This window comes from Homo sapiens, chromosome 11 (genome assembly GCF_000001405.40).
Source record: "Homo sapiens chromosome 11, GRCh38.p14 Primary Assembly".
NCBI classification, from domain to species: Eukaryota; Metazoa; Chordata; class Mammalia; order Primates; family Hominidae; genus Homo; species Homo sapiens.
The window spans coordinates 55,902,640-55,921,906 of NC_000011.10; the positions used below are offsets into that span (position 1 = coordinate 55,902,640).

The following is a 19,267-nucleotide window of genomic DNA, read 5'->3' on the forward strand; positions in this document are numbered from 1 at the left end:
AGAATGAAATGAAAGGGATTTCTTTTTCTGGTAAATGTACAAAGCCTCATTTTTGCACGAATTTTGTGAGGAACATTGATGTGTTTATTGAATAACTGTTTATAAATTGTATCCTGGGGCCAAACATTAAAAATAACAAAGCAGAAATAATGGTGAACAAGATAGGAAAAGACATTACCTTTATGGAATTTCATGTCTAGGGCAAGAGATTTCTTATTTATTTTTATTTATTTACTACTTATTTACTCATAAGTATATGCTGGACATTTATAGGATGATACTCATACATAGCAAGAACACAAACCAGACTGAGTTTGATTCTCTAAAACTCCCTTTGACTGAGCAACTGTATTTATACAGCATGTTTTTTATGAAATTGGAAATTTAGGGAAGGTTCTTAAATTGATGCGGGAAGAGGATTCACTATAACCCACAACAGCACTGGGGCATATTCATGAACACAGTGGGGAAATATAAAAGGATCTTCTCTGCAAAACAACAAAAGGATCTATTTCTACTCCTCCTTGGTTTAGAAGGAAGACTAAGACAAATAATTCCTGCCCACTACACACAATTTAAGCACAATGGTAAGTAATTAAAAATACCTTGAAGGCTGTATGGGTGAGACTACAGAAACATATGTCGATTTACATGAACTTTAAGTCTCAGAACTTTATTATTTTTGAATGGAAATCACAGTTTCATACAGAATATAATTTAGTGCTTATTGCTTTTTTCAGAGCACCTTTCACATCCCTATTCCTTAAGCTGTAGATCAGTGGATTTAACATAGGTATGACAACTGTGTAGAAAACAGAGGCCATTTTGTCTGTTTCCATTGAGTAACTTGAACTGGGTCGGAAATACATGAACAGGAGTGTGCCATGAAATACAGCCACGGCCATCAAGTGGGAGGTGCAGGTAGAGAAGGCTTTCCGTCTGCCCTCAGCTGAGCTCATTTTAAGGATGGTAATTATGATGTAGCTGTAGGAGAGGAAGACAGTGACAATGCTGCACCCCGCAACACAGCCAACGAATGTGAACATCACTATCTCATTAATAGCAATTAATAGTAGGATTGAGGGCTAGCAAGGGTGGGATGTCACAGAAAAAGTGATTGATGACATTAGAATTGCAGAATGACAATCTGAATGTGCAGCAGGTGTGGATTGCAGAATCCACCAAACCTACAACATAGGCAAGAGCCACTAGCTGGGTGCAGATCCTCCTGGGCATAGTGATCGTATAAAGAAGTGGATTGCAAATGGCAACATAACGATCATAGGCCATGACAGCCAACATGAGACATTCCACATCTGCAAAGACTCCAAATAAATACATCTGAATGGCACATAAATTATACGGAATCCACTTTTGGTCCGATAAGAAATCAGCTAGCATTTGGGAGAGACGTGGAAGAGTAGCAGACATCACAGAAAGACAAATTGCTCAGGAAATAATACACGGGTGTGTGAAGTCTGAGATCCATCTTGATCAGTAGGATCATCCCTAGATTGACAATCACAGTTATGCCATAAATCAGGAAGAAAAGCACAAAGAGCCCCTGCTGTATATCCTGTGTACCTGAAAGTCCTAAGAATATAAAGTCAGTAAACACAGTGCAGTTCTTAAGAGTCATCATTCAGATCTGGAAATCCCTGGTTTGAAAGAAGAAAACAGAAGTGAAGGGTTAATATTATCTTACTATATTAATAGTCAAACTGATGGTCTTTTTTCAGTAATTAAAAATAAAGATATAAACAAACTACTAAAAAATATCCAATTTAAAGTAAATCAACAAAATGATCACAATAATATCTCTTATATTTGTATGGCAATGTACAGAGGCTGTAGTACACTTTCACTTATATTAAATCATGCTAATTTCATGAAAACCTATGCATTATTTATTTATGGTGATTTTTGCTACTTCTCTTTTATAGACTAGGAAATTGATGTCCTCAGAGTTCAAGGTAACTGTTCTTATAATTAGTTTGACCAGATGACCAACATCTTATGGCAAGATTATTGTTATTGCTTTTCCTTTCAGTTTTGTAGAAAGGTTGTGATATCTCGTAATAGACAAGCATAGTTAAGTGATAGGTGCAGGTAATGAGTATATCCCATTATGTTTCTCTCATCATCCAAAAATGTGGAGGAGGCAGGGCAATGACGGGTTCTTACATATAACATTCCTTAACTTTCCCAATAACTCCCCAGGTCCTATCCAGCGTTAATAACCAAACCTGCATCCTATTGTCACTGGGATGGAGACAGTCTGTAGTTCACAAACTGCTGGGGTAGGAAGGGTGATGGTTGCATGAAAAGTGAGTAGAAGAGTCACCATGATCAGTAAGCTAGGGTTGACAGACAGGAATATGCCAGGGCTAACTAACTATGCTCTCCTCTGAAAGCTGCTGTTGCTCAGAGGAGATTATAAAGAACATTTTGAAACTAATTGCAGTCATGCTGCAGCACTGGTGGTAGAGAAAGAGACTATGATTTACTATATGGGTCCCTCTTCCCTGATCAAATAGAATCCATATTATCCATTCACCAACAGATCAGACGTGCAAAAATATTCATATGTACACAGTCTCATAACCTCAGACAAATTCATTTCTGAGCTATGTTCCCCATCCCAATTACCAGGAAGTGGTAACAAATTTTTGTTTGTTTGTTTTCTTTGACTCCTCTCTTCTATACCTCTGAAACCTGCTAGACTTCAGTTAAAAATAAATTGGCTGTCTTTGGAGGGCCGTTTTAATGACTGATCCCATTGTTACATTTCATCTAAGCAAATTATATCTTGTATAATATCATACATGTCTCCCTCTGTTCTGTGACATAAAAGAAAAGTAGACTTGGAGATAGATGAAAAACAGAAAAAGAATGACATCTGAAAAATGGTCTAGTGATCAACATGCAGGTCTCTAATATTTCAGTCTAAATTTATTTAAAAAGCTGCCTTTGTAGACACATCTTTAAAAATAATGATTTTCTTTACAATATAACATTTAAATATATGCATGTACAGATTAGATATTGAAATGCTAATAATGTCTAAAAATCTCTACAGCCAGTGCTAGCATTTTATCCCATTCCTTGCCAGCTATGTATATATGTTTAAAATAATAATTAGATTAAAGTTAGTAAAATAAATGTTCACATTGTTTTACAGTCTCCTTTAGTTTTATATGATACTTTTAGTGGAAAATAATAAAAGAACTAAAGAAATATACTAAGTAAACCAGAAAAATAGCAAAAGTTAGTACCTGATTCATAAGTGCTGATTTCTTTACTGGAGGCAATCCCCTCTGCACAAGGGTTCAGTATTGTCTCCTGACCTACCTGGATTATATAAGTAGCTCTGTGTATGACTCTTGTGTATTGGACACTTCCTCTCACAGGAATAAGTGACAAATATAAGAATATGTTTTAACAATTGGTCTTTTATATAGGTAAGGTAATGATTGAGAAAAAAAAATACCGACCATTTAAAGTATTCCTTTTGTTTCTATCTAGCTTATGCTCAATATTATATTTAATTAGCAGTAGTAAAATGACTCTAGTCAACCAGTATTAATCATTTCCAGTTCACTAATCTCTACATAGGCATTTTCTTTTAATTGCACATTATACAAAACAAATACCCCCCTCAAACACACTTAAATGTACAAACAACACTCCTACAATATGCTGGAAAATAAAGATATTAGTAAAAAAAGCAAAAGTAGGCATAATCATATTGCATAAGGATAAGCAGGTTCTGTTGTCTATGGTATTGGATTTCTGCTTTTTAAACAAAAATGATGTCAGAATAACATTTTTATATATAAAAAAATAATATTAGAGGAAAATGCATTCACTTCTATTTATGTACATTAATTTATTTGACCAATCCTCTATTAATGGCCATTTCATTTATATATAATTCTTCATGTCACAGAAAGTCTGATATGACTAAAATTACACATACATAATTTATCATATCCAAGTGTTTCATTAAAATAAGTTTTTAAAAATGGCCTGTAAAAATAAAAGATTTGATCTTAATTAAAGGCAATTTTTGTCTTCTTGCCAAGTCAGGTGTTTTATAATTATCTAATTATCATCACATATTATGATATGTTTCATATATTGTCACATATGTCCTGAGTTGTCTCATACAACCTCATTATATGATGTAGAACCTGAAGCCCAGAGTTATTAAGTAAACTTAGTCTTATAGACATTGTTTGATTGTATCCATAGAAATTGCTCATAATATATCTTTTAATAAAATACAATAAAACAGATCTGTCTTAAAATATAGTGTTCTTAAATACTCTTACAGAATATTGTAATGTGTTTATGTTAAAGTGATGTTAGAAATTTCACAAAATTAACGGCCCATAAACTCTCAAAGATCACTCATGTCACTTCTCAAGCAGGGCAGGAGGATCCCAGAAGTGACTGAAGATAGAAGGAAGAAATAACGTTTGCTATACGGAGAGTAATTTATCTTGTTTATATCAACTAGGCACTTGGTCATTAATATTGGTGCCAATAGAAAGTGATGTGGCAGGTCATTGCATTGAAAAATTGCAGGAAACAAGTAGAAAATAAAGAAATCAGTGCCCCCTAAAGTCGTGCAGCCTGACAGCCTTTAGCATATATCCTTTGTATTGGCCATCTTCTGAGTGGTATTTTATAATGCATTAATCACTACAGTGTGCTTATAAGCTTAGGTTACTATGTGATCTTTAAATGTCTAATGTTGATTGATATTTCAAGAAAATGCACAACAATTATGTACACTAGCTGTAGCTCTTGAGTTGTAATGTGATTAATTTAATTACCACAAATTCTGTATATGCAAAATTTATTCAAACAGCAAAACAGTAAAATGAGGAAGACATGTACAAGTTTATACACTTCAATACTTCAGGTCGTTTCTGAAACCCCACCTGGAGTAAAGAGGAGTCATAGATTTGTTGTTGTTATTTTTATTTGTCTCTCTTGCTTCTTGTTATAGTGTTTCCTACTTGGTTTATATAAAGCTGGAATACTTAGGTGAAATTCATTGAAATTAATGTATTTACAGTTTTTGGAAAAGTGATTTTTAGTGACGATTTTTATTTTTTTTATATTTCATTGTCATTTTTGTGAGACAATCCCAATAGTAAAATGCCAAATGTACTTTTGTAGGAGAGAATATTGAAGCAAAGCTCACACCAACTAAGTAATTGCTAATCGTCTTCCATGAGGTAAACTCAGTAAAGTAGTATTTTTGTTACCCAAGAGTTTCCTGTCACTGTGTGCTTCCCTGGCGCACATTTGGAGGATGTGGAGGTGTCTCTGGTCACTGTGGGGGGTGCATGGCAACATATTCAACTTATGTGCATGGCATTTGAGGTTGGGGCATGGAAAAATACTGAGGCACTGTCTGTATGTATTTTGTGCATGAGAATGAAACTCCTTGTGGAGTGTTTGGTGCAATAAGGAACGCTGAAAACAGCCTCCTGAGAATGCGGTTTGAGTGCTTTTACAAGGCCACAGGTGTCTCACGAACAGACCTCAAAAAAACCATCTATTGGATGTTTGTGGGTTAACAAGCCCTTTCAATAAATACTTGGCAGATGGATGCTGGGGCGGATTCTCTTAGAAGAGCTGTCCCTCGTCCCGCTAAGCTGGAATTGTCTGAGAACTCATTCTTGGCGTTCACTGAAAGCTATAAGCTCTGTAGGTCACCTTCTTCTAATTCCTTTCCAAGCTCACGTTTATTGCCCATGGGTGCTTTTCTCCAGAGATACCAAATTTCCTTAAGCTACACTCTGTTTAGGCAGGATTCAGATTTTAACTTCATAAACACAGCTGCCCCTCCAGACAACATAGTCTAATTCCCATTCCCCATTTACACTAGAGCATGAATATCAACATATTGTGGAAAATTGGATAATTTAAATTATCTCCCAAAGGACTTGCAATTTATTAGAGAATGACTTTTTTAAAATCATGAGGGAAAAAGACTTAAGGTAAAATTTAAGATTTCGCAGACAAACAATTGAGAAAACAAAAACAAAAACGTGTGTATCTAAATGATGTCACGGGTGCCGCTAAACACAATACTACATAGTCAACTGTCTACTTATAAGTTCTTCCTTCAGAAAATAGTTTCCTGGCCCTGAATCATGGGCCATTTTCAAATAAGGTCAGTGCATTAACTTATTTACTGGTACCAAGGAAAACCAGGATCATTAATCTCCTTGTTGCTGAGAACAAGCAGTGACTGCGCTACCAGCATCTCTGTTTTATAAGCGAGATAGCACATTTTTAGTAACATAAAGAATAATGATTTAATCAAATATTCTGTGAGAGTTGTGTGCTTTATTATTTTTACAAGCATAGCTTGAAAATATATTTTGTCCTAGAAACTGCTAGAGATTTAAAAAGTGATTATGAAATCCTGCAGTTGTCCACAATCTGATTGTAAATACCCTTTGTTGTTTGAAAAATGTTTAAAGTATGCATACATTTTAAAGTATACATATATACACACATATATGTACACGTATATACATATTTAAAGTAAATATCAAGTGAATTTTCAGAAATGAAAAGATTTTTGTATCCAAAACCCAGAACAAAAATTAGAACATAACCAGCAATTCAGAGACTGTCCCTGGACCCAAACATAAACTGACATCCAATATGATAGATTAGTTTTATTTCAAAAATCATTTAGAAATGATATCATTGAATTTGTATTCTTGCATGCCTGGGTTATTTCACTCATTTTATGTGCAATTCCTCCATACTGTTGCGTGTAGTGGTAGTTTCTCCATTTTCATTGTTGTGTAACATCCTAATAAACAAATCAAATGTTATTCAACAAATTCCAAATAATGTTACTGTGATTATTTTTGTACAGTCTTTAGGTAGACATATTTACTCAATTCTATTGAGTATAAAACAAGGAACAAAATGTTGGAGTCATAAGATATGCATGTGTCCAGCCATAGCAGATAACTGCCAATTAGTTTTCCAAAGGTGAATGCCAATCTGACTTTTACTACCCATGTGTACAAGGTATGATTTTTCCACATCCACACCAAAACTTGACATTAATATTGTCGATCATACTTATTTTGGTTGATTTTTAGATGAGTCATAGTACTGCATTAAGATTTTAATTTTTATTTCCTGGAATACTAATAGTTATGTAACCAATTCTGTGATGTGTCTATGAAATTCTGAATGCAGAATGGAAGGCCATTTAAAGGGGCTATGCTCCTTTAAAATATCTCGCCTTTCAAGACTCATACACTCTAGCTAACACCATTGTCATTGCAATTTCAGGTCAAGTCAGCCCGGAGACACAGGCAGTCCTTTTGTATAAACATGAAGCCACTCCACGCCTGTAATCCCAGCATTTTGGGAGGCCAAAGTGGGCAAATCACCTGCGGTCAGGAGTTTGAGACCAGCCTGGCTAACATGGTGAAAGCCCATCTCTCTTAATAATACAAAAATTAGCCGGGTGTCATGGTGCATGGCTGTAATCCCAGCTACTCGGGAAGTTGAGGCAGGAGAATCACTTGAGCTCGAGAGGCAGAGGTTGCAGTGAGACAAGATCGCACGACTCCCCTCCAGCCTGGGAGACAGAGTGAGATTTCATCTTCATCTAAAAAAAAAAAAGAAAAAAAAAGAAAAAAAAGAAAAGAAAAAGAAAAAAAAAGAAAGATGAAGACACTCATCATTTTTGTATTTCTTTTAAAATACTGCATATCCAATAGTGGGAATAGGTTTACATGTCAGTAGACTCATAGATGTATAGAAAAAAAATGTGGCAACTGAAAAGTATCTTATAAATATACTAGCATGAGGCTTTTTATTATGGGGGGTGATGAGACGGGACTCATTTCTAGAGAGGAAGAGTCTTGTTAAATACCACAGTAATTTAAAGTTGCATCGAGTGCCTAGTTCATAACATGTTTCTAGAGAGAGATATTCAAGGAGGTTAAAAGTCACTGCCTCTGGTTTCAACACAGGACCTCCCATATTCTGCCTCATTGAGCATTAGTACTGCTCTACTTTAACAAGTGTAGTTATACAACCTATCACCATTATGTATTTCTGTTCATTGCATTACATGTATATCCAAATCTACCATCGTATGTCATTATTATGTTTAGGTATTTCAGTGCCAAGGCTAAAGGAAAGGATTCATGATATAGAAATGTTCCTACCTTGTTAACCCACTACACAAAATCATGGGTGATATCAAATTTGGACAATGCTATTTTTCATCAGTCATTGGTGACTGTGTGATAAGAGAGTGATTTAGAGAGACAGAGAGTGGAAGGAAATGGTGGGAATTGAGGTGGACAAGCTAGAACGGATCAAAGCCTTGTAATAAATGTTTTACCTATTTCTGTAGACTCCCAGGATGGAACTGTTAGATCAGGCTATCTGGCCCAAATCTTTATTCAAGTCATGAATATCCTAAGCAATATTCCCAATAAGCGATTTCTCAACCTTTAATTGTACAAATTCAGAGAAATAATGGTTACAATTAATTAATTCAGTTTCTTCCATTTTTAGACCTATGTTTATTGAGCGTAATACCTTGCCTTTGTTGGGGTTGAAATTTCCTTCTCTTTAGGCAACACTCATTATACATGATTAAAGTAGCCAAAAGGCAAATCAAATCAACCTTTTCATGACATAACTGTCATATGTTATATGGAAGGGAGATGACGTGTTTATATCTTAGCAGCAATTCACTAACATTCCAATCTGTCTGGACTTAATAATATTTCAAAGGGTGTTTTCTACCCTGCTGCTGCTCATAAAACAGATTAACAGAAGTGTATTAGTAAATTGAGAAAACATGTCACAAGTGGAAACCCTCCAAACCTGTTTTCCAAAATAAAGCATTCCCCGTAGTTTTTTTTTTTTTTTTTTGCATCAACATACTTATCTATAGCCTGTCACAGTGTCCCACAAATGAAACCTTGCAAAGCAGAGGTGTGTTTTGGGCTTTACTTACATTCTGCAATGTTTTCACAGAAGGACATTTTACAAGGACAGCAAAAAAACCTAAGACTTTCAATGTCTTTTAGATTACACAATCATAAGGGCTAATGAAAAGTGTCATTGAGTTTTGTATGATTTTGCAAACATGTGGCCTCAGCCATGTTTTCTCAACAAGTTTCTCATAGGGTTTTAGCATTATACATTGGAGCAGAGCTGAATGAAAGTAGGTGAACATGAAGAAAGCACCCACATGAATGCCTGTAACTTCCTATGTAATTACTATGCATGTCTTTGTAGACTCATCACCTTGGTATCCATAACCATTTCATTTACTTAGAGCTTAGTGATGAGAAAACATGGGCACATAGAGGAGGCCTTTTGGAGACACACACTGGGGCCTTTTGGAGCGTGGAGGGTGGGAGACAGGAGAGGATTAGGAAAAAATAACTAATGGGTACTAAGCTTTTTACCTGGGTTTTGTATGATTTTGCAAATATATGGCCACATTCCTAGGTTAGGAAATAATCTGTACAACAAACCCCCATGACACAAGTTTACCAATGTAACAAACTTTCACTTGTACCCCTAAATTTAAAAGTTTTTTAAAAACCTATAAAATATATATTCAAAGCACACATTATACCCTCACTTAACTAGACTTTGATATCTCACAAACATTCAAAAATGTTATACCGTGTGTTGGTTTTTATTATTTATCTATTTTTCCATTTGGTGACCCAGAAACCATGCAGATGCTTTGGTTGGGATGACAGGCATAACACATGCAGTCTTTGAGCAAAGAATGCTTGCAGTCTCACACTCGTGGTGTTTGTTCAATAAACAGACTGATAGATAGAATAGTACCTTTGAAAGAGTATTATATATGAACCACAAGAGGGACATTTAAATAGGGCTAGAAATAGGAAGAAGGGAAGAGAAGCAGAGTGGAAATGAATAGAGAATATCAACTCAACTAGACTTTACTGCATGTACCACTTTATCCTTCAATTCTTACATGTTGGACTTCCTTTCCTCTAAAAAGGCATTGCCCTGTCCACCTCAGGATGTCTAATTTTCAGCCTCTCTATCTAGAATCCTTTCTTCTCTCCACCCACCCATTGGATCTCTATGAATTTTTAGATCTAAAACCAAATGTCCCCATTTCAAAGAATCTTTTCTTTTCTTCACTCTAGTTAGACATTTTGTTTATGCTTACAGTACCCTGCCTTTTGACTTCATGGCCTTTTATAGTTTATTATGAATTATTGGTTAGTTTGATTAATTAAATGTTTCCACTATATTCTATGACTCACTAGTACAGAATATAGTGGATTCAGCATGAAATGCAAAGTACACAGCAATGTGAAAGGCATGTACTAAACACTCAATAAGTCTTAGAAAAATTACTGCCTGTCACGCCCGTAATCCCACCACTTTGTGGGGCCAAGATGGGTGGATCGCCTGAGGTCAGGAGTTCGAGACCAGCCTGGTCAAAATGTTGGAACCCCATCTCTACTGAAAACACAAAAATTAGCCGGGCCTGGTGGCAGGCACCTGTAATCCCAGCTACTCGGGAGGCTGAAGCATGAGAATCACTTGAACCAGGGAGGCGGAGGTTGCAGTGAGCCGAGATTGCACCACTACACTCCAACCTGGGCAATAGGGTCAGATTCCATCACAAAAAAAAAAAGAAAAGAAAAAAAGAAAAATTACTCTGAAATATATATTAAACAAATAAAAATTTGCCCCACTAACTCAAAGACTGGAGCATTTTTCAAATATAGAGAAATTACCTTACCTAAATTGAAAACACATTAAAAAAATAGCATATTTAGACAATTCCAGAGAATTGCTAGATTGTGGCTGAGTAAAATATGTATTATATTAAATTAGGGTATTTGAGACAACTTTATGTTATAATATATAATTTGAAGAAAACACCAGTATGAATATGCATTTTTGTGTGTATAAACATGTATTTTTACTATTTCCTTAAAATAAAATTTTATTTTTCAGTTTTTTCAGGGCCTCTTTCACATCCTTGTTCCTCAGGCTATAAATCAGGGGGTTCAACATGGGAACCACAAGGGTGTAAAACAATGAGGTCATTTTATCTTGATCTAGAGAATAGGAAGAACTTGGCCGGAAATACATAAAGAGCAGAGTTCCCTGGAAAATTGCAACCGCAGATAAGTGGGAAGTGCATGTAGAGAGAGCTTTGAACCTCCCCTCAGCAGAGTGTATCTCCAAGACTGATAGGATGATATAACAATAAGAAATGAAAACTCCTGAAATGGTACTCAGTTCAATAAAACCAAAGACGGTGAATAACACTAACTCATTGACCTGTGTATCTGAGCGAGAGAGTAATAAGAGAGGAGGGATATCACAGAAGAAATGATTAATCTCATTAGACCCACAGAAGCATAGGCGGAAGGCCAGTGTCATATGTATCAAAGCATCTGCTATTCCCACCAGATAAACCCCAGTCAAGAGTAGATAGCACACTCTGCTAGACATGTTGACTGTATAGAGCAGGGGGTTGATGATGGCCTTGTACCGATCAAAGGCCATCACTGACAGCAGTAGACACTCAGAATCTGCAAAGATACAGAAGACCAAGAATTGCAGAGCACAGCCATAGAAGGGTATTGACTTGTTCTTGGCAAGTAGATCTACCAGCATCTTGGGCCCAGTTGCAGTAGAATAGCAGAGATCACAGAAAGACAGATGACTGAGGAAGAAATACATTGGTGTGTGAAGTTGGTAATCCATTCTGATTAAAACTATCATTCCAAGATTTGCTGAGAAATTAATGATATAAACAGCCAAGAATACAGCAAATAGGGTCACTTTCATCTCTGGGTTATTGGTAATTCCCAAGAGAAAAAAATCAGTTAATGAGGAGCAATTTTCCCAGTCCATTCTTCCTTGTTCTTGTTTCAAACTGCTACAGAAATCATTACGAGAATGACAGTCTAGAACTTGACTTTCCAAGATATCAAAAAAAAAATTATCTGTAAAGTAGAACAAGATTTGTTTATGTAAATTATCTTCTTTACCCTCAAAAAGTATCCCAGGTGAGTGTCACTTTCAAAGAGGCATTATTACTGTATTAAAAAAAAAAAACCCTAAAAGTGTCTGCCAAAGGAAGTTGATCAACTTTGAATCTAAACTTACATGCAATTTCTGACATATATCATTTGTCTTTGCTTCTATTGTACAATCTAAGGCAGTCAATTTGATTAAACTGAAAGCTCAGTACAGATCCAAAAGGATGTGAAAGAAACACCATAGTTAGAGTCACAAGGGCCAGAACATACCGGACTAAGCATCTCATATATTTGACAAAAAAGGATCATATTTATTGCATTATTCAAGAAATATATACATTTTTCTACCACTGACAGTGATATTACATGTAAGTTAATAAGAGAAAATTATTATGGTACTGTTTTTGATGTGGTGTCGTTAGTGCTTACTGGAAAAGAAAAATGTTTTATTTAACTGTTACTCATCATCACTGGTTTGTCACAGCATTTATAATCCATTTGGATGACTTATCTGGTTCTAAAAAACAAAAGCCAAATGTAAGTGGTAAAAGAAGTGTGAACAACAGACTACTTATATTTGCTTATAATTGACTTTTTCATTAAAATCAAAATGTGAAGAACAATAAGTGTTTCTGAAATATATAGGCTTCTGTTGCTTGTGTTATATGTGCACTTACTCTTGTGTGTGTGTGTGTGCCTGTGTGTGTCTGTTATATGAAAATTGAAATGTGGGGTGGGTCTGATTGTTATTTCTTCTAGACTTAAATATTATGGCATGTACCTTAAGAACTTGAATTTTCATAAATTAATATCTGTAATGTGTTACCTCTATTATTATTTGAGTAAATCTAGAACCTATCTTAAATTTACATCTAAAATAATATCACAGGTACAGTGATTTTTTAAAGTAATGATTTACTTATGAAGGTTGATTAAAATATAAATGGGTGAAATCTATATTATCCTCTTACAATGACAAGTAAGGTCAGTCAAATTCACACAGATCCAATAAGAAAATATCATTGTTTGGCCATTAGATTCCAGAGGTGCTTCAACTGAGTAAGCATCTATAAAATCATTCATTTGTAAATTCCTTAATACATGATTTCTTATTTTTCCAAAATTTTTCCTCTGTCCTTTAAATTGATCATTCAGAAACCTACCTGAGATGAGCAAGTCTTTCTGTCCTTACCTCTGGTATGTGAACAATAGGCAGATCACATTTTATTTTTACTGGTGACTGTTGGGACATAAATCTCTCAAGCCTCTGCCTTCACTCCTTTATGTTATTCAAACATGATTAATTAGATTCCTAGTTCTGTATTTTCCCCAGTGAATGCTGCAACTAGTTTACCAAAGGCTCCATTTTTAATTTTTCAGCTTTATCACCAAATTGACCAATGTTAGAAATTTATCAGAATTCATTTAACAGTATGCTTCATGGTTATCATGAAATAAGACAGCCAATGAAACTTGAGTAGATTTTCAACTTAATGGTTTTCTTGTCCTTTTCATTGTTCATCCTGTTTCTTCCACTTCTGAAAATCTCCTTCATCTCCCATTTAGAAATAAGATAATCTAACATGCTGCTTTTTTTCATTAATCATTGTCTGAGTACTTTTTCCCCAACTACAGTGACAACTACCCTCATTTCAATTATTTTATGGATGTACAACATCCGTCACATTGAACACACTTTTTCTTAATTTATATTTTATTTGTCTGTTGGCCTAGGTGTCTCTCTACATTCCCACAATCTCTAGCACAGAGATATGTGTGAGTAATGTATGTTTTTAAATGTGATTGTGTGATGTTAAATATTTTCTGCTTATTAGGCTGGTAATGTTCAACCAAGAATAAACATAAACAAACTTTCAGGTCTGTTTCTCCTAATATAGTTGATATGTACAAAGATGATTATTTAAAAGAAAACGTGGCCCTGCGCGGTGGCTCAAGCCTGTAATCTCAGCATTTTGGGAGGCCGAGGCGGGAGGTCAGGAGATCGAGACCATCCTGGCTAACATGGTGAAACCCCGTCTCTACTAAAAGATACAAAAAAATTAGCTGGGCGTGTTGGCGGGCGCCTGTGGTCCCAGCTACTCGGGAGGCTGAGGCAGGAGAGTGGCGTGAACCTGGGAGGCAGAGCTTGCAGTGAGCTGAGATTGCGCCATTGCACTCCAGCCTGGGCAACAGAGCGAGACTCCGTTTCAAAAAAAAAAGAAAACATGTGTTGAGGCCATGCTTTTTAAGAAAAAAGCTAAGTTCTATTTATTTCCAAAATAAGTTTTGTGTACAATTATTCATGGCAGTCCTTTGATACTTGGAAGTTACTCAAAGTGTGAATTTTGTGTCTACCCCATTGACTCCCCTATGGCTGCTATGTATTGCTCTCCTCTCCGTCCCTATTTTAGTCAACTATTTTAGCCTTTAACTTCATGGGACAGAGAGCTGAATCCTGCATTCACATTGTTCTGGCCATAAAATTGTCTCTACTCTCCCTTCTAAAAATGTGCTTTTAAAGCACCTCTTCATTCAGGCCTGGGCTTGTGGAGGAAAAGGTATGAATTTAAATACATTCTACAATGGATCGTGTATCACATCCCATGTGTTTTCCATATACTAATTACTATATCTCCATATATCTTATCATACATTTCAAATATTGTCTTATGTTTCCATCTCTAACAACTTCATTATACAGATACCAAAAGTGAAATTCAGAAGTAAAGAGTAAACTTCTGGAGTCTCATAGGCATGAAGTTTTCTTTCTCCAAGCACCTGCTCTCAATATGTTTCTGACTACAGTGTAATGAAAAAAAATTTCTCTGTACTGGCCATGTTCTGAGTGGTGTTTTATAATATGTGATTCATTGCTGGATACTTACAAGTACAGATTTCTATGTGTTCTTTAAAGTCTACTGTCGACTGTACTGTACAAAAATGTATTCCCACTGACATTCTGTCTTAAGGAAGTTAATCTATTTTTTACTACAAAAAAGTGAAAGAAAAATGTGTAACTAAAATAGTCAGTGATAGACATAAGCCAGTGTATCCATATAAACACTCCAGGTGATTCCTGTGTCTTCCCAAACCTTACCAGGGAGTAGACAGGGGCATAGCCTTTTCTCAAAATTCCTATAAAGCTAGCCTACATCTGGCTAAATTATTAAAATATTCTTGATTGGGGGAAAAGTACTTTTTAGTATTAAATTTCAGTGACTTTTTATGCTTTATTGTCATTGCTTGGGAGATGGTGGTGTTACAAATATGCTAAATTTATGGCTATTAGACATGTTGTTAAAGACAAGTCCAACAAATTAACTGTAATAATTTTCCACCCATTACACTAAAGACACTGATACATTTGTGCTGCCCAAGAGCTTTGTTACCATCATCTACTTCTCTGGTCCATACTTAAAGGAAATGGACGTTTAACTTGATTCAAACTCATTTTCATATCATGTGATTACATGTTTACAGGAATGACAGGACTCTTTAGGTTATACTTTACTTAGGTAAGACCTAAATTAGCTTCCTAAACTCGACTGTCCCTGGACATGTAGGCTAAATTCTCTTCAACCCTTTTCATTAAAACCTGAATCTAAGTGGCTACATTATTATAAAAAGTTGGATAAAGTTATTGGTATTTAATTGAAGATGCTTTCTTAAATTATGGAAGAAAACAACCTAGTTGGAATTCACATCAGAGGTAAGCAACTGAGGAAAAATATCTGTATCTAAATTTGTTCCCTGGTGTCACCAGTGCTCCGAAAGATAATACTCTGTAAGTAACTGTCTGCTTATAATCTTCTTCCTTCAGAAAAACCTGGTTGTTTGTCCCTAAGTCATAAACCATTATGAATAAGTTTAGTGCATGGTACTGTCCCAAAAAGAATCAGGCTCTCTTAGCTTCCCTTTTACAGGAAACAATACTAAAAGTTCTTAAAGGCTGAATAAAACATTTTTGTTTTATTTTAAAAAGAGAAATTTTAATAAATAAATATTTACTGAAATATTTTATGAAAGTTGCACAACTTTTTCACAAAAACATGCTGAACTCTATTGAATACAAGGAATTACTAGTAATACAAATTTATAGTAATAACATTCTGAAATTTCTACAGTCTAATGGTGAACAGATTTTGCTTTTAGAAAATCTTTTGATGTGTAATATACATACAGATTATACTTAAATGATAGGTATACAACTAGATGAATTTTCAAAAAAAATAAAAATACTCCTGTAACCAGGACCCAAAGAAAGAAAGAAAGAAAGAAAGAATATTACCAGAATCCCCCAAAGTCTTCTGCATGATCCCTCCTAAGTTACTACCCTCCTACTCCCAAAGGGTAATTACTTTCTTGATGTTTAAAACAGTAAATTACTTTCATATTTTTTGAACCATATATAAATGGATGCCTACAGTATGCACTTTTACTTAATGACATATTTATGCAATACATCCAATTTGTTTCATACAATTGTAGTACATTCATTCTTATTGTTGCATATTGGAGATTGACATCCACCTTTTCTTGGACTTTATTCTGATTCAAGCACACTCCTGCCATGATGCTGTTCCAGATATATCTAGTGTGCAGGTAAAATTTCCAAAAGAACATGGATTAACTGAGGAGATATAATGACCAAAGGAAGCAACCCCATTGAGTTTTCTACTTCTATACTTCCCCATGCTATGTCTCCGAATCTCAGAAAGAATGTCATCCTAGAGAACAGAGTATCATTGCTCAACTTGGGATTTACAGGAAATCTAAAATGTTTTCACTCAAAAGCATTTTACAATGGCACCTAGCTAGCCTTAGATATTGAGTGACTTTTAGCCTGTGTAATTGCAGAAAACATTTGAGTGTTTGTGATTCTCATATGGTCCTTCAAATGCATATCCATGTCCCTGTTTACCACAGAAGCCACTTGCAGTACTTTGATAATCAGAAAACTAGAGAAGAATCATGGAAGCTATTAAATATCTTATAATAATCTCAATAAGTACTTTAATTATTTTTGAAATAATTTACACTTGCCTTTAATATGCCATTGCCTTTAGCATCCACAACCACTTATGTACTTAATTATAAGATACAAAACATATATTTGAGATACATACTAGACAATCAATGATTTCTTTTTGCCTTATGATAAGCTTTCAATCAAAATTAACTTTTTTTCTTATTTCTTTACTTATTGATTCAGACAGGCTCCTGGGTTCAAAGGGGTAGGTCTCTGGTGAAACTTCAACATCAAGCCAGGGATAGCCTGAAGACTGGGGGCCAGGTGGCCAGTTCCACCGACCAGAGTGAAAACTTATGGTGCTTTTCCTGGGCCCGCCTGTGGCCACCCATGGACCAATCAGCACACACTTCCTCCCCTCTGAAGCCCATAAAACCCCAGACTCAGCCAAACTTAGGCAGATGATGAGACAACCTGCCTTCAGAGAGGAGCTACCCACTCTAGGTCTCCTCTCTGCTAAGAGTTGTACACTCTTGGGGATGACCTGCCTGTGGATAGGAGCTAACCACTCTGGGTCTCCTGAGAGCTGTACTGTAGCTCAGTAAAGCACCTCTTCACCTTGCTCACCCTCCAATTGTCTGCATACCTCAATCTTCCTGGAGGCAGGACAAGAACTTGGAACCTGCCGAGTGGCGGGACAGAAAGAGCTGTAACACAAATAGGGCTGAAATGAGTTCAGTGTGGCCCCCCAACCACTCTCCACACTGCAAGTGACAAGAAGGAGAGAAGAGCTGCGGCCCTTCAGGGGGCCCAGAACTAAGGGCTGTCCAAGCCAGTGCTGTGACACCTTCTTTGGGGCTCTTCGGTTTCTGGTGTCTCCATGCTTCTGGCTGGTACCATGTTCCCCTCATCCAGACATGGGTGCCCGCAGTAGAGGCTGCTTGTGGTGCATCTGAACCAGCAACAGGCTTCCATGGATCCGGCACCTGGAGCTGCCCATCCTGCTGCAGCAGCTGGCATGCCTGGCAGTGTGCAGTGGCCAGACTCCATGCTTGTATGCTCACTCATCCATCCCCACTCCAGCCTGGCTCACCCATGGCAGGCATGGGATCTGGGCTGGTAGTGCGAGCCAAGTACAGCCTGCCAGGTCAAGGCAGTGGAGGGAGCCCAGCAAGCCCAAGCAAAAGCCTACTTGGGCAAAGGTGCCACCAGCAACAGAGGTCTCTGGCTGGCGAAATAACACCCCAGGTATCCCATGACATAAAGACAGTTGACAAAAATATTTAAATGTTCACAGTTAACTTTCATACTTCAGACATTGTTTTGTCTTAAATGTTCTTCATCCTATTTCTCAGAAGCTGTAATATTGATTGATTATTTTCCTTTGTCATTATTTCTTTTGTGTACCTCTGAAATATGCCTGTTCTTGATTAAAAAGAGTTAGCGGACCTTGTGAGACAAATTGAATTCTATTGAATTCTATGTTCCACAGTTATCTCTGACTAAAACAAATAATATCATATCCAATACCATACAAGTACCTCTGTGTTCTGTGGTTATGTAAGAAAAATAGAGTTGTAGGTAGATGAAGAAAAAATAAGAATGACATTTGAATAATGATCTAGTGATCAATACGCGGGTCCTCAAAATCTTGGCCTAAATTCATTTAAATCTGTTCCTGTGAAAACGTATTTAACATAATTGTTTTCTTTATAGAAAGAGGACATTTTACATAGATATTTATATGTAAACTATGTAAAATATATGTACATATATGTAAAATATACCCATATATGCACTATATATATAGAGTAAGAGATTTAAAACAGTCTAAAAGATTTTGACCAACTCTGCAACTACTGCTTACATTTTATTGTATGCCTTGTTCTCTAGGGAGGTTGTTACATGTAATTGAAATGAAAAGCAGCCTTGGAGATGCTTTCTGTATTAGCCATGTTCTCAGTTATATTTTAAAATATGCGAATCATGACGTACTCTAATAAGTGCAAATTGCTATGTTCATTTAATATCTACTGCTGATTGACATTTCAAGACAATATATGATAATCGTGTACAGCAGGGGTATATTCTGAATCTGAATGCAGCTAATTTATTTGAAATTAAGCCAGTAAATGCAAAATATGAGGGCAAAAATAGTAAGATGTATTAGACATGTACCAGTTATGCCTTGAAGTACTCCATGTAACTTTTTACTTTTTCTGAAACT

General features: G+C 36.0%; 1 protein-coding gene and 1 pseudogene across 1 annotated transcript; both read right to left on the bottom strand.

The window, feature by feature from the left end:
• On the bottom strand, nt 704–1,506 carry OR5W1P (olfactory receptor family 5 subfamily W member 1 pseudogene; annotated as a pseudogene).
• Nucleotides 11,011–11,943, bottom strand: OR5W2 (olfactory receptor family 5 subfamily W member 2). Its single transcript, NM_001001960.1, has one exon. The coding sequence runs from the start codon at nt 11,941–11,943 to the stop codon at nt 11,011–11,013; it is 933 nt and encodes a 310-aa protein (NP_001001960.1).
• Nucleotides 11,944–19,267: the final 7,324 nt, after the last annotated feature.

Excerpts from the sequence above, each read along its gene's own strand:
- OR5W2 (NM_001001960.1), bottom strand. The coding sequence starts at position 11,943 with ATGGACTGGGAAAATTGCTCCTCATTAACTGATTTTTTTCTCTTGGGA.